The 16285-nt window shown below is 40.0% G+C and overlaps 1 long non-coding RNA gene across 2 annotated transcripts in view; it reads right to left on the minus strand.

The window, feature by feature from the left end:
* Window positions 1-317: 317 nt before the first annotated feature.
* Window positions 318-16285, minus strand: part of LOC105374873 (uncharacterized) — a 30545-nt gene continuing 14577 nt past the window's right edge. The window contains exons 2-4 of one of the 2 annotated variants that reach the window (XR_926363.3): window positions 9746-9840; window positions 2498-2627; window positions 2309-2401 (exon numbers count right to left, since the gene is read on the minus strand). This is a non-coding gene — a long non-coding RNA (uncharacterized LOC105374873). Of the gene's footprint in view, window positions 2402-2497; window positions 2628-9745; window positions 9841-16285 lie in introns of both variants that reach the window. The other variant, XR_001743915.2, reaches the window with a different exon arrangement.

The following is a 16285-nucleotide window of genomic DNA, read 5'->3' on the forward strand; positions in this document are numbered from 1 at the left end:
TTGCAGCTCTGAGTGCTCAAATGCTGTTTGGACTCTTCCTTCTTATAAACATCATGCTTTTCTCTTTAGCTCATGGCCGAGTTTCTTAGCAAAGTGCTTTATGGAAGTGTAGGGAATAGAGATGTCACATAAAAATGGAATGAGTTGTGAAAACAGGCAGTTCCCATCTCCCCCAAGATAGGCAAATCTTTTAATGACCTCCCTGGGAGGAGGGAGCCAAGGGCATATTCAGATTTTATAGCACCGTGGTTCAGGATATTGAATGAATACAGTTATTTCATGATTAGAAATAAAATACACTTCAGAAAATCTTTAAAATGCCCAACTGTGCAAAGATAAATTTTACTATATTCATGACTATTCATTTTAATAGTTCTTTTTCCAGTTACTTACCATAGGTCTTATGTAATACTTTTGGCAGAATAAAACAAAGTACCATTTCTGCTTTCAAAACAGATCAGTTAATACATTCAAAGCTATTGTCTTTTTCCTCGTCAAAGATGGCATTGTTAGAGCCAGCATATATAAACTTTCTTCCCTGCTGAGTAGACCACGTGGAAAAATGCTTATTTTTTCTTATAAGAATAAAATTGCAATCTTTCAACAGAACATGTTGATTATGCCATCTGGCACATAATTTCTTTGCTTAAATTAAGCTGAGAAATCAATTCAGTGTTGAAAGATATTATCCGTTTAGCATTTTTTTTTTACCTCCAGGCAATTTGAGAGAGGGAAAAAAATAAGTTGTTTTCTTTTCTAAGTATGTGAATTATATAGGTCTTGAATATTTTCTTCTACATAGGGGAAAATTATAATTTATAAGTAGATAGCTACGATCCACTGGGATTTCTTGTTCTGAAGTTATGCCAAAGCTGTACTGCGTTACCGGAACCTGCCCTGGAAGACCAGGTGACACTTGAAGATTAGCATCGGTTGATAGACGGTGTGATCAAATGATGGCAAAGACCTGTCCTAAGAGTTGTCTACATTTTGCTCAGACTTTTCTTTGTGAAGTAGTTTGTGGGTTCAGGTTGTTGCCGACAGTAAAGGCACAAATAAATGAGCTTAATACACAAATCCGGCTGCCCCCTAGGGCTACCTAGCAACGTTAAGGAACTAACAGGTGGTGGGAACTCATAAGAACGGAGTGGAAATGACCACTTCTTAACTGGACAGCGGAGGACTGCTCCAGCGGGATCCCCTTGTCAGTTTCTTCCTTGCGTCTCTCCTACCACACGTCTGTGGAGGTGCAAATCAACACCCAGTCACCAAAGACCTTCCAGGTGAATAGCTAAAGCCATGTACAGCCCTTGACCATTCTATAGCCGCCGAATCGGAGTTGAGCTGATCGTGAGAGATGCTATTGGGAAGCTCAAACAGATGCAACAAATGCCAGAGGAAAGTGAGCCTTGAACTGGAAGTTGTACATATGGCAGAAAAATGGGGAAAAGACGCAAATTAGTTGGAATTTTTGCCTTTGTCTCTTTGAGTTATTTTAAAAAGTCATCTTTAAAATAACGATTGAATGTTAAGTTTTGTTATTTAAATAGTGATTTATTAAGATTAAGAAATAAAGAATAGGAAATTCACATTTATGGAGAGGTATCATACAGAAATCAACCACCTGGGGTCTCACAAAAACACACCTACCCTGAGTCTTTGATGGCCACCTGCCTGTTGATGTCATTATCCACCTGTCAACTGCCTGGGGCATTGGGGAGAAAAGAAAACTTAAGTGTTTTCATACCCAAGGAAGTTTATGAAGTAAGTGCAAGCATCACAAATGGAGTTTTAAGAAAGCCTAGATCTGAATTCTAGCGCAGCAATAGGTTCACAATATATTTGGAAAAAGGATAATGTAATTTTTGCTGCAAGGACTTTGCATAACAGTAATAATAATACTTTTCATCACACTTAGGTTTCAAAGCCTATTCATGTGAATTATGTGCTGTGCTTCTCGTTAACCTCCTGCAAATCTAATATAATGGAGACACAGAACATAATAGTAGATGCTGAGTTGGAGTGAGATCCAAGGTTTTGGAGCTGAGGAAGTTGAAGCCATTGAAAAACGGCTTGTAATACTTGGCATGTATGCTTGAGACATGCTTGTTCACCATGGTGCCAATTTAAAAGTCATAGCTAATTGCATGCATTTATAAAAATGAAGGCAGTGTATCCCGGAATCTTGCAGTGACAGCTTTCTCTCAGGGTGATCCCTATTTCACACCATCTGAGACACAGGCTTAAAGAGCAGATGGGCAGAAGCCAGTCTCCTGATCGATGGTGGGGTGTCCCGTTCTGAGGCCGGGCTCCCACACTGCAGCTCTGCCTGGCTGGCTCCCGGTAACACTCAGAAACATGTCTCTGCACTTTGTGGGCATCTGATTCCGTACTCCTGCATCTTAACAAACGAGAGAGAGAGAGAGAGAGAGAGAGATCAGGCAAGAAAGTAGAAAAGAGCAAAGGCACATTGGCAAGAATGATTTCAAAGTCTCACCACTCCTGCTGGAAAGCCCCAGTTCCTGAAATATTTTGGAAGGATCTGTATATAAGTGCCCTTGGGAAATAATTTCTCTGATTGGCACCTTAGCTTTTTGACTCTTTTAGCAGTGAATCAACAAGTCCATCTGTGGAAAGAAGAAAGCTAATATAATGCGGCATTTAAAGCACAGCCCGGGAGACTCCACCTACTTACTTTAGAGAAGCCAGCCCCACCTTCCCTGACCTGGCCGACCATTTATCTCAAGAGTCCAGAATCACTGGAGCTCCCAGGGGGCTGATCCAATTTGTCCCTTTGTTCAACAGAAACATGGAGAATTCCTAAGAGCGAGAACTTGATTTTAAATAGGGAATTAGAAGACTGTTAAGTCCAAACTCAATCTGTTCCATCTCTTCACCATGGCTTATGGTCCCACCAATGCCACTGGGCTCTCCAGACCACCTTTGTTGACTATTGCCAAACACTATGAGATACAAAAAAGAAACGATATTAGTAGAAAATGGATTGCCCACATTTTCAAGGCTGGGGAAGGGCATGAGCTGAAGAATTTCTAATACAATTCTGACTCTCACACAATTTGAACTTCCTACCTTTGCAATATGAAATGTACATTTTATATACAATTTCCATGCCAATTTACAGGTGTTAAATTGGGAACAGCAGTAGAGTACAGACAAAGGGGGATAATCTAATCTAACAGCTACAGAGTTCAAACAAAGTTTGCTTCCTTTTTTAATATCATCTGGATGTCTGCAACATTTCATGCAAATCAATCTTAATTTACTATGTGTTTTGGCTCTTTCATAAAATAGTCTGACCATGCTATTTCTACAATTTTAGCTGTAAAATTTTCCATAAATAGGGCACTTATTACATTTTTAATATGTGGATTGATTCAGTTAGTATAAGAGTCTAGAAGAAGAAAGAGTCCGGGTAGAGAAATCTAGCCTTTTACCAATTCCCCAAAGCATTTCTGACACGAGCGTGTCATTTAGACTCAGGAGACCAGGTTGGAAAGACTGTGTCCTTGGACTTTCTCTAGTATTTTTTACTACCACAAGCCTAGGTTAACTTTGGCTTAACTCTGCAGATCTACACATTGTCAACCTAAGTGAGAACTTTGCAAGAACTCTCGGGTAAATTTGGGCTGCAGTGAACGATTTTGTCATTGACCTTGGTAACCCACTCACTGGGCTCAGCTCGACTCTGAAATTCTGTCTTTTGATGGCATTTCAATTGACGGAATTTCATGTTGGAGAATCTATGAAGTGGGGCCATCCCCATGTCAATGACTAGAAGGAAGTGCAGCATTCGGCTGGGGAGGCTGCCCTCGGATGGTGATTGATTTGGTTGGTCAAGTGAGTCTCAAGTCAGGAAAGCACAGGGAAGCCCAGTACTTGCTATTTCTTCGTGAAAGTTTGGGAACTTAGCTCTTCCATTGCAGTTGGAGGAATCAGAGGTGGCAGCACAGAGATTCCTTGGAAGGCCTCCTCCGAGAAGTTTTATAAGCATGTGTGTGTATACACGCTGGTTTTTACAGGAGGATCACGTCTTCCAGACCACCCATCCATCTCATGCAGGCACAGCGTGTCACTGTGCCCATCTCCTGACGGCGAGTCTGACATTATTGGGGCTTTTGCTATTGTATTGACTTGTGGCTGAGAGAGATCAGCATTGTGTTACTTGGATTTAGTATGCTCAAACTCATTTCTTTTCCACATTCCAAGAGGATTTCTTCCCTGAAAAAAAAGGGGCATAGGAAAGCGAGTTCCAAAGTTTCTATTCAAATGTAATCCCTCATATCCTCTCTGGGCGCCCCCCTAAAGGACAGTTGTTTTTAAAAGGAAAATATCAGTTAAGACATACCATGTCACTAAAGGGACCTTTAAAAAGTCATTTGGCCTCCTGGCAGGACCACACTCTGAGCAGAGATCACAATCTATCCCTTTCTTTAAATCTCCAAAGTGTTTTTGAAACGGTTAATAATAATAAACGAGATAAGGGAATCCAGGTGGCACGGTCACGCGGACATCAACAGCGGTGCCTCTGTGTGAGGTGTCAGCCAATTTGCAGTACAAAGCTGACCACGTTTTATAAGTAGTATTCTAAGAAGCAAAGTCTTATGGACCTTTCAGAACATGTGCTTCTATTTATTCTTTGTCAGCATGCTGGGGCACCTGTGTTAGTTTTATGCCACTGCATGCAGACTCTTTGAGGAGGAGAATTCTGGTAAGTTCCAGCTGTTATTTCACCTGTGAGAGAAAAAAAAAAAAAAAACCTTCCTGGAACTTTCAACCTGAAGCACTAAAATTATTTGGGAACCAATACCACCACCAATTGAGATGGGAAAGCAGTTAATATTTCAATATGTGAATTCCGTTTATTAAATGCCCAGTATAAAAAAGAAAAACATTGGTTCTTCTTAGGGGTGAGGACAGCAGTAACTAAAAATTAACACATATATGTATAAGATTAACATAGTGCTGTTTGTGGTTATTGTGAGAAGAACTGGGTGTCACCATTAATTATATTGCTCACAGTTATTCAATGGTTACTAGTTATTATTTATGAAGTACTCTGCTAAGTATTACATATACATTGTCCCACTAAATACTTACAATAGCCCTGTGAGTGAACTATCAGCATCCTGCTTATCTAGACAAAGAAATTGAAGCTTTGAAAGGTGAAGTAGTTTGCAAAAGCTGTGTCAGGCAATAAGCTAGTTAACTGGGAGTAAAACCCAAGCATCTGGTTCCAGAGCCTGGGTTCAAAGCACTGAACTAGCATCTCACAAACGAAGGGTCCCTGAACACTGCGTGCGATCCTTGCGATAGAATGTGGAGGAACTTCACATGTGTGGGAATGTCATATATTTATTTGTTTTTTGACTCTCTTCTCCATTAAAATGTAACCACTGTGAGATAGGGCCTTTGTCTGGCCTATTCACAGCTATATTTCCAGCTCCCCAGAATGTGTGTCACAAAGTAGATGCTCAAATAAATACTTGCTAAATGAAGCAATGATTAAAACTGATGACTTTTATTACTTGGAATGAAGACAAAAGTAGGTTTGTAAAGAAAATTATTGATGGAATGTAAAGGGAACTATTAAAAAGTGAAAGTACAGATGATGTGATGTAGATGACGAGAACTACGAGGGGAATGAGAGGACCTCAAGTGCGGGCAGCATTGTGTACAGCATGTTCCCTTCTGCATGCACTTAGTTAAAAGTGAGGCTATGGCATTTTCCGTGCACTCGAAGTCACGCGCAAGAGTCATACGTAAAATGAGCCCCATCCATCCAGGATATAGACGTGTCTGTGTAGATCAAGGAGATTCTGTAGGAGGTTAGTTTTGCATCTGGAGTTTGAGTAATTAGCACTATTGAATAAACTGAAAAAAATGTTATATTTTCTTTTGAATCCCTCAGCACAAATGACAGTAACCATCACACACTGGATCTGCAGATAAATAGGGAAGCTATTTTTTTTTTTTTTACCGTTTCTGTCTGATTTGGAAGCCGAGCAGTGGCTGGTTAGTAATATCATCTTGTTTCCATTCCACTGTGTGTGATTGTCATCCAATGCCTGTGCACTCTCAGCTTCCATAATGTGGTAAATTGTGTTGGATTAATAGCTGGTTGGAACATGGCCAAGAAACCAGTGTGTTAAAGGAGAAAATGTTGGTTATTCTATTTATATTCATTTTACCGTTGTGCCAGCCAATGAAACTGAGTTATGGATGGATGTCAGAGTACAAGGAAACAATTTTCAGTTTGAACAATTCCACCTTATTTCTTCAGAAGTAGCACACAGAGGAGGAAAAACATAGTAACAACAATTGGCTTTTCAATGCTGAATGTTTGCGCTAAGATTTTATCACTGAGCATTTTAAGAGAGGATCATGCTGAAAATGAAATCATCTGATACTCTGGGGGATTCTGAGCTGATGGATGGCTGTGTGGGCTTGGGGTCTCCTGCCTGGGTGACGGGTGCCGCCGCACGCAGCCCCCAGTCCCGCTCACTTCCATCATCACCACTGCCTGCTCACAGCTCTCAGTGAGGATTCCAGGCGCCTTTCATCGTTCCTGTAGTGAACATGTACCACTCAAAATACGAGTAATTAAATCTCTCATCGGACGAAATGCACAGAACTTGAAGGCTTAAGCATTGTACATGGGGAGAGAAAAACAGACATGGAAAGCAACCTGAGAAAGACAGCTGTGTGAAGAAAGCCTTCTTCTTCGGAGAGTTGGTGCTGAAACATCCTTTGGGTGGTTTTGGCAAGATCGATAGGAATGAGGGATGTTTCTATAATGCTTGTTTGATTCAGAGAGTGGGCAAAAGGAGAAACTCTTTGCGCAAGTGTGCCCTGCTCTCTAATTCTGATTGGGCAGCGCAGCCAGGAAGCCAGGGGGTGGCTGGGGATGCGGCCGTCACCGTGCTGGTAGACCCTCATAACCAAGGTGACTGGAAGGCTGGGCTCACTTTCAAAGATTCTTACCTGTAAGCGTCCCCATTATAATTGTTTGAGATAGGTGGGCATAGGCAGCCTCCTTTCACTCATTCATTCAAGTACATTTAGTGCAGATTGACACACACCAGGTGCACTTCCGAGGGGCTGGACATGAACACACAGTGTGACCAAAATCACGAAATCCCTGCACCCACATGGCTTACCTTCCAGTGAGAGAGAGAGAGAAAATAAAAACATATGCAAAAGTACAGTATATAGATGTGACCGCTAGTACGGAGAAATAAAGAAGGAATGGGGTATTGAGAATCCTGGAGGAAGGGGTCCAGTGGTGAACAGCATAGTAGGGATGGCTCACAGAAAAAAGAAGACAGTTTGCAAAAGAGCCAAACAGCCGAGTAGATGAGCCATTAAGCCCTGTGGGTACCAGGCTGAAGGGTGATTCAGGCAAAAGGAACAACAGGTACAAATGTCCCGAGGTGGACTATGCCTGATGTTGTTTGGGAAGAACCAAGAGGCCGAAGAAACTGGATTGGAGGTCTTCCTTTAAGAATACAGCTACTGGGGAGTGGGGTCGACTCTGAGTTTAGATTACACCCTGGGATGCTAGGTCTCAAGGCTACAGATTGTATTTTAAAATAATCTAATTAAAATTGCAAATGGCACGTTTTTTTTGTTTCTCCAAATACTCAAAAAGAATTAACTTTAATATTTTAATAGCTGGCATTTTCTCTAACTAGTTTGTGGATTGTCAGAGACAATTTTTCATTAATAAAGCACCACTTGGGTATAACAACTTGAAACCAATTCTTTAGAAACATACCACAAGGTTTCTGATATTCCAGTGAATATTGGCCTTTTCAGAGTTGTCCTTTGGGAGGCTGAACACATAGTCTGCTAAGAGGCTATTGCTTAAAATATTTTGCATTTCTTTGGATTTTTTTTTTTTTTTTTTGACAGAGTTTTGCTCTTGTCACCCAGGCTGGAATGCAATGGTGAGATCTTGGCTCACTGAAACCTCTGCCTCCTGGGCTCAAGCAATTCTCCTGCCTCAGTCTCTCAAGTAGCTGGAACTACAGGCACCCGCCACCACGCCTGGCTAATTTTTTATATTTTTAGTAGAGACGGGGTTTCACCATGTTGGCTAGGCTGGTCTCGAACTCCTGACCTCATGATCCACCTGCCTCGACCTCCCAAAGTGCTGGGATTGGAATTTTTTTCCAAAGATTGGAAAATTAAAATAAAACTTTTGATCACTGTTTGCATTGGACATATGAATTTGATTTTTGAAAGCTTGCAAATTATTCCCAACTAGTCCTGATGATGAGAGGGTCATCTGTTAGAAACTGACAGCAAAGCACTGAGTGTCGTGACACTGGAGCTTTAGTTAATCGAACGAGCCATGGCTCAGCATTTTCTCTGATTTTTTTCAAGTAATGATGAGGCACAGGAGGAGGATGATTATGAAACTGACATTAAAGCATGTCCCCTGCAATGAAATAAGATGTACAGATATTTTAACGTATTAGCTGGCCGGGCGTGATGGCTCATGCCTGTAATCCCAGCACTTTGGGAGGCTGAGGTGGGTGGATCACCTGAGGTCAGCAGGTCAAAACCAGCCTGACCAACACGGTGAAACCCCGTCTCTATTAAAAATACAAAAAATTATCCGGGCGTGGTGGCGGGCGCCTGTAGTCCCAGCTACTCGGGAGGCTGAGGCAGGAGAGGGGCGTGAACCCGGGAGCGGCAGTTGCAGTGAGCGGAGATCGAGCCACTGCACTCCAGCCTGGGTGACAGAGCGAGACTCCGTCTCAAAAACAAAACAAAACATATTAGCTGTGGTTGTTTTTTGTTTTTTTTTTTTTTTTTGGGTGGAGTCTCGCTCCGTCGCCCAGGCTGGAGTGCGGTGGCTCGATCTCTGCTCACTGCAAGCTCCGCCTCCCGGGTTCACACCATTCTCCTGCCTCAGCCTCCCGAGCAGCTGGGACTACAGGCGCCCGCCACCACGCCCGGCTAATTTTTGGTATTTTTAATAGAGACGGGGTTTCACCGTGTTGGTCAGGATGGTCTCGATCTCCTGACCTCGTGATCCGCCCGCCTCCGCCTCCCAAAGCGCTGGGATTACAGGCGTGAGCCACCGCGCCCGGCCCAGCTGTGCTTTTTATGGGCAACAAAAATTGTTTTCAGAATTGAAATTGCCCTTGATATTTTGACATGGGTTTGACGTCTGCAAAGTTATTTCATATTACACTAAAAAATGTCATGGAAAGAGTACGCCCCGTGTACCCACCACGCAACTGAACAGTAACACGGCACGGGGAGCGTGGGAGGCTCCGGCTTGTTTCTCCGCCCCTGTGTTTCCGCCTAACTCGAAGGAGCCACTGCTCCCCAGTAGATATGTCTATGCTCTGATCTAATCCAGCCTGTTCAGGTCCCAGTTTTGCCTCTTCTCTTCTGGGGGGTGGCCCCTTACAATCCAGGAGCTCGGCCACCAGCATTGGGCATAGGCCCCGAGGCACAGCCCGGCCCTGGTGAACACCTGCTTACTTCCTGGGATAAGGACTTTCTGTTCGGAGCTCCCTTCCCTTCTGCCAGCTCAGTCACGCATTGTACTAGATCTTCCTACGTCTTCTCTTTTAATGGTGGTGCACCAGGAGTGGTTTCTGTAAACGTTCAGTTTACCCTATCTTATCTTAGATTTTCAATCACATGCTTTAAGCATAATAACCAGTTCTGAAAAGAAAACCTTGTCATAGCTTTGGCTGCTTCTTACCCAGTGTGCACTTTTTCAGGCCACATGACTTCAATAATTCATGATGAGGGAAACAGTGAGCTTCAGGGCATCACCATTAGCGGAATGTTCTTGTTCTATAACGGGGAAAAACAAGAGATCTTTTAAAGATGCTACAATGTGGTAAGGGGAATGAGAGCAAAGAGAATTTAGGTGCTGCTGAGACCAAATCGCTTTAAAAGTCACATGTTTCTTTCTAGTGCCAATTTCATGACAGCATCGAAGCAAGACAATTATTTGTTTTTCCTGATATAACACATTAGAAAGAGCCTAGGAAGTTTCTAGTGGGAAAAATTCTATGTCAATTTTCACCTCATATTAAAACTTTAGTACCTTTGTACTTATAAATGTATCTCCAGCTCATGAAACTTAGCTGATAGGGAACATTCTTTCTACACTTAAGCTTAGAAAAGTGAGTTGATTTACACAATTCTTTCATTGGGTTTGAAGTTCTGGCAGAAGTATATTAATTACTGCATTTGATTACAGTTCATTTGATAAGCTGGAGGACTGTCAACTAAAGTTTGTAATGATTTAAAATTGTAATTAGCAAAGAAATGATCTAATAAAATATTTACTTCCTTATCAGCAAGTGGAGACCAGGTTAAAGAGAAGAGCATATTATCACAACTATACGGAAGCAAGGGAAACGCATGGTTTTTTTGCATCTATAATTTGGGCTTTCGCATGTGGTTATAATTCCTTATCTAAATAGAAGTTTGATTACTTTTGTGAATTTCTTGTTTAATTTTGAGTGAACTCCTCTATATTCTGAATATTTTTTAAAACAATTTTTCTTACTTCCATACCGAAATGAAGCCTGGTTTTCCCTGGGGAAAATCTGGTCACTCCAAGATATTCCCAGAGAGAATTATCTATTCCCCATTATGCTGGTGAATGTGTTGCTTTTCCCTCCCAAACCTGAGCAGGAGATTAAGCTCTGTATGATACAAATAATAGTATCTTGCCTGGCATCCCACCAACGAGATTGGTTCATTCATTCTCTAATTTTTAAATTATAATTTTATATAATATTTGATATTAAAGAATATATGTAACACATATGGAAACTGATGCATAGTGGCAGAATATAAAGCCACACAGAAACCAACAGTGTTTCCAGTAACTGACATTTCCCCACGCATGCCTCTTAGGTGCCAGAAGTGAATACTATCTCAATTTTTAAATTTTTATCATCTTCTTACCTTAAAAATATAATCTTGTTTGTCTACATTTCTAAACAATATATTGTTCAACTTTTTTGGGCTTGATAATTATAATTTTAAGTGGTCTGAGACTTTCTTTTTACACTCAATATTATATTTCTATGAGTCTTCCATGTCATGTAGAATTAATTTATTTTAAACTGTTGTACAGTAGTCCATTGTCTAAATAGAAAGAAAATCAATGTACCAATTTTCCTACCATTGGATATTTGGGCTGTTTTTAGTTTTTTGCTCTTCTGAACAGTATTGCTATAAACATTCTTTACATGCCTCATGGTACACATGTGTGAGACTTTATCTATGGCATATAGGTAGTCATTGGGTAAATGTTAAATTTTATAAGATGATGCTAAATTGGTTTCCAAAGTGGCTTTCACTTCCACTGGCAGTCTGTAAGAGTTCCCGTTGGTCCCCTTCTCTGCAACATTTTATATTGTCAGATCTGTCTTTCTTTCTTTCTCCTTCGTTCTTTCTTTTCTTTTTCTCCTTCCTTTTTCCCTTCCTTCTTTCTCTTTCTTTCCTTTCCTTCCTTCCTTCTTTTTTCCCTTTCTTTCTTTTTCTCTTTCTTTCTTTCTTCTTTCTTTCTTTCTTTCTTTCTTTCTTTCTTTCTTTCTTTCTTTCTTTCTTTCTTCTTTCTTTCTTTTCTTTCTTTCTTTCTCTCTTTCTTTTTTTGAGATGGAGTTTCGCTCTTGTCCCCCAGGCTGGAGTGCAATGGTGCAATCTTAGCTCACTGCAACCTCCGCCTCTTGAGTTCAAATGATTCTCCTGCCTTGGCCTTCCCAGTAGCTGAGATTACAGGTGCCCGCCACCACACCTGGCTAATTTTTGTATTTTTAGTAGAGACGGGGTTTCACCGTGTTGGCCAGGCTAGTCTCAAACTCCTAACCTCAGGTGATACACCTGCCTCGGCCTCCCAAAGTGCGAGATTACAGGCGTGAGCCACCTCACCCAGCCCAGATTTCTTAACTCTTGCCAGGTTTTGCCTCTTACTGTGGTCCTAATTTACACTCCCATGATTACTGAGGCTGAGGGCACTGCCATATGTATTTCTTCCTCTGTGGAGCACCTGTTTTAATCTTTTACTCATAATTCTAGTGGGTCATTTGTCCTCATCTTCATTTTTAGAATTTCTTCATATATTCTAGATATGAATCATTTGTTCAGTTTTACAAGCATACCTTCATATTGCAGGTTTGGTTCCAGACCACCACAATAAAGCAAATCTCAAAATACGACTGAGAATTTTGGGGTTTCTCAGTGCATAGAAAAGTTATGTTTACACTATACTGTAGTCTATTAGGTGTGAAATAGCATATGTTTCAATGCTGTATATATAAAAATGTGTATAGATATAAAAATATATGTGGTATTTTATATATTATATATTTATACATAAATATATATATTATATATATACACACACATACTGCAATTATTGCTAAAAATGCTAACAATCATTTGAGCCTTCAGCAAGTCATAATTTTTTTGCTGGTGAAGGGTTTCACCTCAATGTTGATGGCTGCTGACCAATCAGGGTGGTGGTTGCTGAAGGCTTGGCCTGTGGTAATTTCTAAAAATAGGACAACAATAAAGTTTGCTGTATCAATTGACTCTTCCTTCATTTATTTATGTATTTATTTGAGACGGAGTCTCACTCTGTCCCCTAGGCAAGAGGGCAGTGGCACAGTCTTGGCTCACTGCAAACTCCGCCTCCTGGGTCCGAGCAATTCTCCTGCCTCAGCCTCCTGAGTAGTTGGGATTACAGGCGCATGCCACCACACTCAGCTAATTTTTTGTAGTCTTTTTTTTTTTTTTTTTTTTTTTTTTTTTTTAGCAGAGATGGGGTTTCACCATGTTGGCCAGGCTGGTCTCGAACTCCTGACCTGAGATGATCCACTCACCTCGGCCTCCCAAAGTGCTGGGATTACAGGCATGAGCCACCGCGCCCGGCCAACTCTTACTTTCATAAAAGATTTCTCTGTAGCATGTGATGCTGTTTGACAGCACTTTAGCCACCATAGAACTTTCAAAATTGGAGTCAATCCTCAGCAACCCTGCTGTTGCCTTATCAACTAAGTTCATTTAATATTCTAAATCCTTTGTTGTCTTTTCAACAATGTTCAGAACATCTTCTCCAGAAGTACATTTCACCTCAAGGAACCATGTTCTTTGTTCCTCCATAAGAAGCAACTCTTCATCCATTCAAGTTTGATCATGAGATTGCAGCAATTCAGTGACGTTTTCAGGCTCCACTTATAATTCTAGTTCTCTTGCTATTTCCATCACATCTGCAGTTCCTTTTTCTACTGAAGTCTTGAACCCTTCAAAGTCATCCATAGTGGCTGGAATCAGCTTCTTCCAAATTCCTGTTAATGTTGATATTCTGACCTCCTCCCATGAATCACAGCTGTTTTTAATGGCATTCAGAACAGTGAATCCTTTCCAGGATTTCAATTCACTTTGCCTGACCGAATCCATTAGAAGAATTACTGTCTGTGGCAGCTATAGCCTTTATAAAATGTGTTTCTGAGATTGTAGGACTTGAAAGTTGAGATTACTACTTGATACATGGACTGCAGAATGGATGTTGTTTTAGCAGGTGTAGAAACAACATTCATATTCTTGTATATCTCCATCAGAACTCTTGGGTGATTAGGTGCCTTATTAATGAGTGTTAATATTTTGAAAGAAATATTTTTTTCTGAGCAGTTACTCTCAAAAGCGGGATTAAAATATTCTGTAAACCATGCTGTAAACAGATATGCTGTCACCTGGCTTTGTTTTTCCATTTATAAAGCACAGACAGAGTAGTTTTAATATAATTTTTAAGCATTCTAGGATTTTCAGAATAGTAAATAATCACTGGCTTCAACTGAAAGTCACTGGATACATTGGCCTCTAACAGGAGAGTCAGCCTGTCTTTTGAAGCTTTGAAGCAGATGTTGACTTCTTCTCTCTAACTGTGAAAGTCCTGGATGACATCTTCTTCCAAAAGAAGCCTGGTTCACCTACACTGAAAATGTGTTGTTTCGCATAGCCACATTCATCAGTGATCTCATCAGTGATCTTAGCTAGATCTTCCGAGTGTGTTGTTTCACATAGCCACATTCATCAGTGATCTTAGCTAGATCTTCCGGATAACCTGCTGCAGCTTCTGCAAAGCGCTTGCTGCCTCATTTGTAATTGTACTTTCTAGAAACGACTTCTTTCCATAAATCTCATGAACCAACCTCTGCTAGCTTCAGTCTAGCTGCAGCTTTTTTTCTGCAGCTCCTCTCAGTCTTCAAAAGATTGAAGAGAGTTAAAGCTGTGTTCTGGATTAGGCTTTGGCCTAAGAGAATGTTGTAGCTGGTTTGTTGTGGTCTGGTCTACCTAGACTACTCACACTTTCTCCATATCAGCAATAGGGTTGTCTTACTTTGTTATCATTTAAATGTTCACTGGAGTAGCATTTTTAATTTCTTCAAGAACTTTTTCTTTGCATTCAGAACTTGGCTAATTTTTTGCCATAAGAGGCCTAGCTTTAGGCTCTCTCATCATTTGACATGCCTTCCTCAATAAGCTTAATTATTTCTAGCTTTTGATTTAAAATGAGAGATGACTCTTCCTTTCACTTGAGCACTTAGAGGCCATTTGTAGGGTTATGAATTGGCCTACTTTCAATATTATTATGTCTCAGAGAATAGGGAGGCCTGAGGAGAGGGCAGGAGATGGGGAAAGCCAGCTGATGGAGCTGTTAGAATACACACAACATTTATCAATTAAGTTCACCTTCTTATATGGGCTCAGTCTGTGGCACCATTGCAATAGTAACAACAACTGTCACTGATCACAGATTACCATAACAGAAATAATAATAATTTAAAAGTTTGAACCACTGTGTGAATTACCAAAATGTGACAGAAGAACACAAGGTGAGCCCATGCTGCTGGAAAAATGGCGCTGGTAGACTTTCTGGATGCAGCATTGCCACAGACCTTCAATTTTTAAAAATAAAAGCAGTATCTGCAAAGCACAATATAGTGAAACACAATAAAAAAAGGTATGCCTGTATGGATTGCAAATAATTTCTCCTAGTTTACCAACATAATTTCCCTTTTAAGGAGTGCCGTTTGATTAATAGAAATGTTTAATTTTAGCATATATTAAGTTTTATATTTATAGTTCTAAAAATTTTAGAGAATTGTTTCATATATTTATGCCTTTGATTTTTGTTTATGGTGTGATGTAGGGATCCAATGTTATTTTTTTCATACTGATAATTAATTGCCCCAGCACCATTTATTAATTAGCCCCCAATTTTCCCACTGGCTGATTTTTAATGCCATCTCCAACAACTATCATAGTTCATCAAATGCAGAAACCTCTTTCAGGCTCTCTTTTCTGTTATTTTTTTTCAACGTTTATATCTCTATATAAATACTACGTTTTCTTAATTTCAGTAGCTTTATATTTATTCTTGATGTCTGATGGGGTATACCCCTCCACTTTCTTCAGTTTCCTCATTAGAAGTATTTTATCTGTTTTTGGTCTTTCATTATGTTATATAAATTTAAGAATTATTTTATCAAATTCCACAGAAGCCCTGTTGAGATTTTGGTTGGAATTCCTTAGCATGTGTGTGTTAAATAAGGATAATATTTAATTTTCTCCTAAATTTTTCATTCATTTTCAACATTTAATAATCATTCACTGAGTGACTATAGTAGGTCCTGCGAATAAGAAAGTGAAGGAACATGACCTTCAAACTCAGTTAAATAGCAGTATAGTAGGAGCAGGGCATCCATACATAACTATAATACAACAATCATAGCAAACTTTTTATTGGATGTATCATGTGTCAGACACATTTTCAAGCAGTTGACATATATTGTCTTATTTAATCCATAAAAACATATAAAGTAGATAGTATTATATTCTATAGATGAGGAAATTGAAGTCCCAAAGTAGAAACAGCCCAAATATTTATTGACGATAAAACGGATAAACAGGTTTTTAAAAAATGTTGACACATCAAAATATTATGCAATGGCTGAAAGTGAATGAAGTATACACAATAACAGGAAAGACTCAGAAATATCATAAATTTGAGTAGTTAACGCATTAGAAGAGGGAACTGGTTATAGTGCAATTTTTAATAAGGATTAAATAAGTTGGAGGAGCCTAGATTCCCTAATTAGCAGGGGTAAGCAAACCATAACCCTTGGTGCAAATCTGATCTGCTGCCTGTTTTTATGAATAAAGTTTTATAGGAATACAGCCATGGCTGTTCATTTATGCATTGTCTGTGGTTGCT

This window comes from Homo sapiens, chromosome 6 (genome assembly GCF_000001405.40).
Source record: "Homo sapiens chromosome 6, GRCh38.p14 Primary Assembly".
In the NCBI taxonomy this organism is placed as follows: Eukaryota; Metazoa; Chordata; class Mammalia; order Primates; family Hominidae; genus Homo; species Homo sapiens.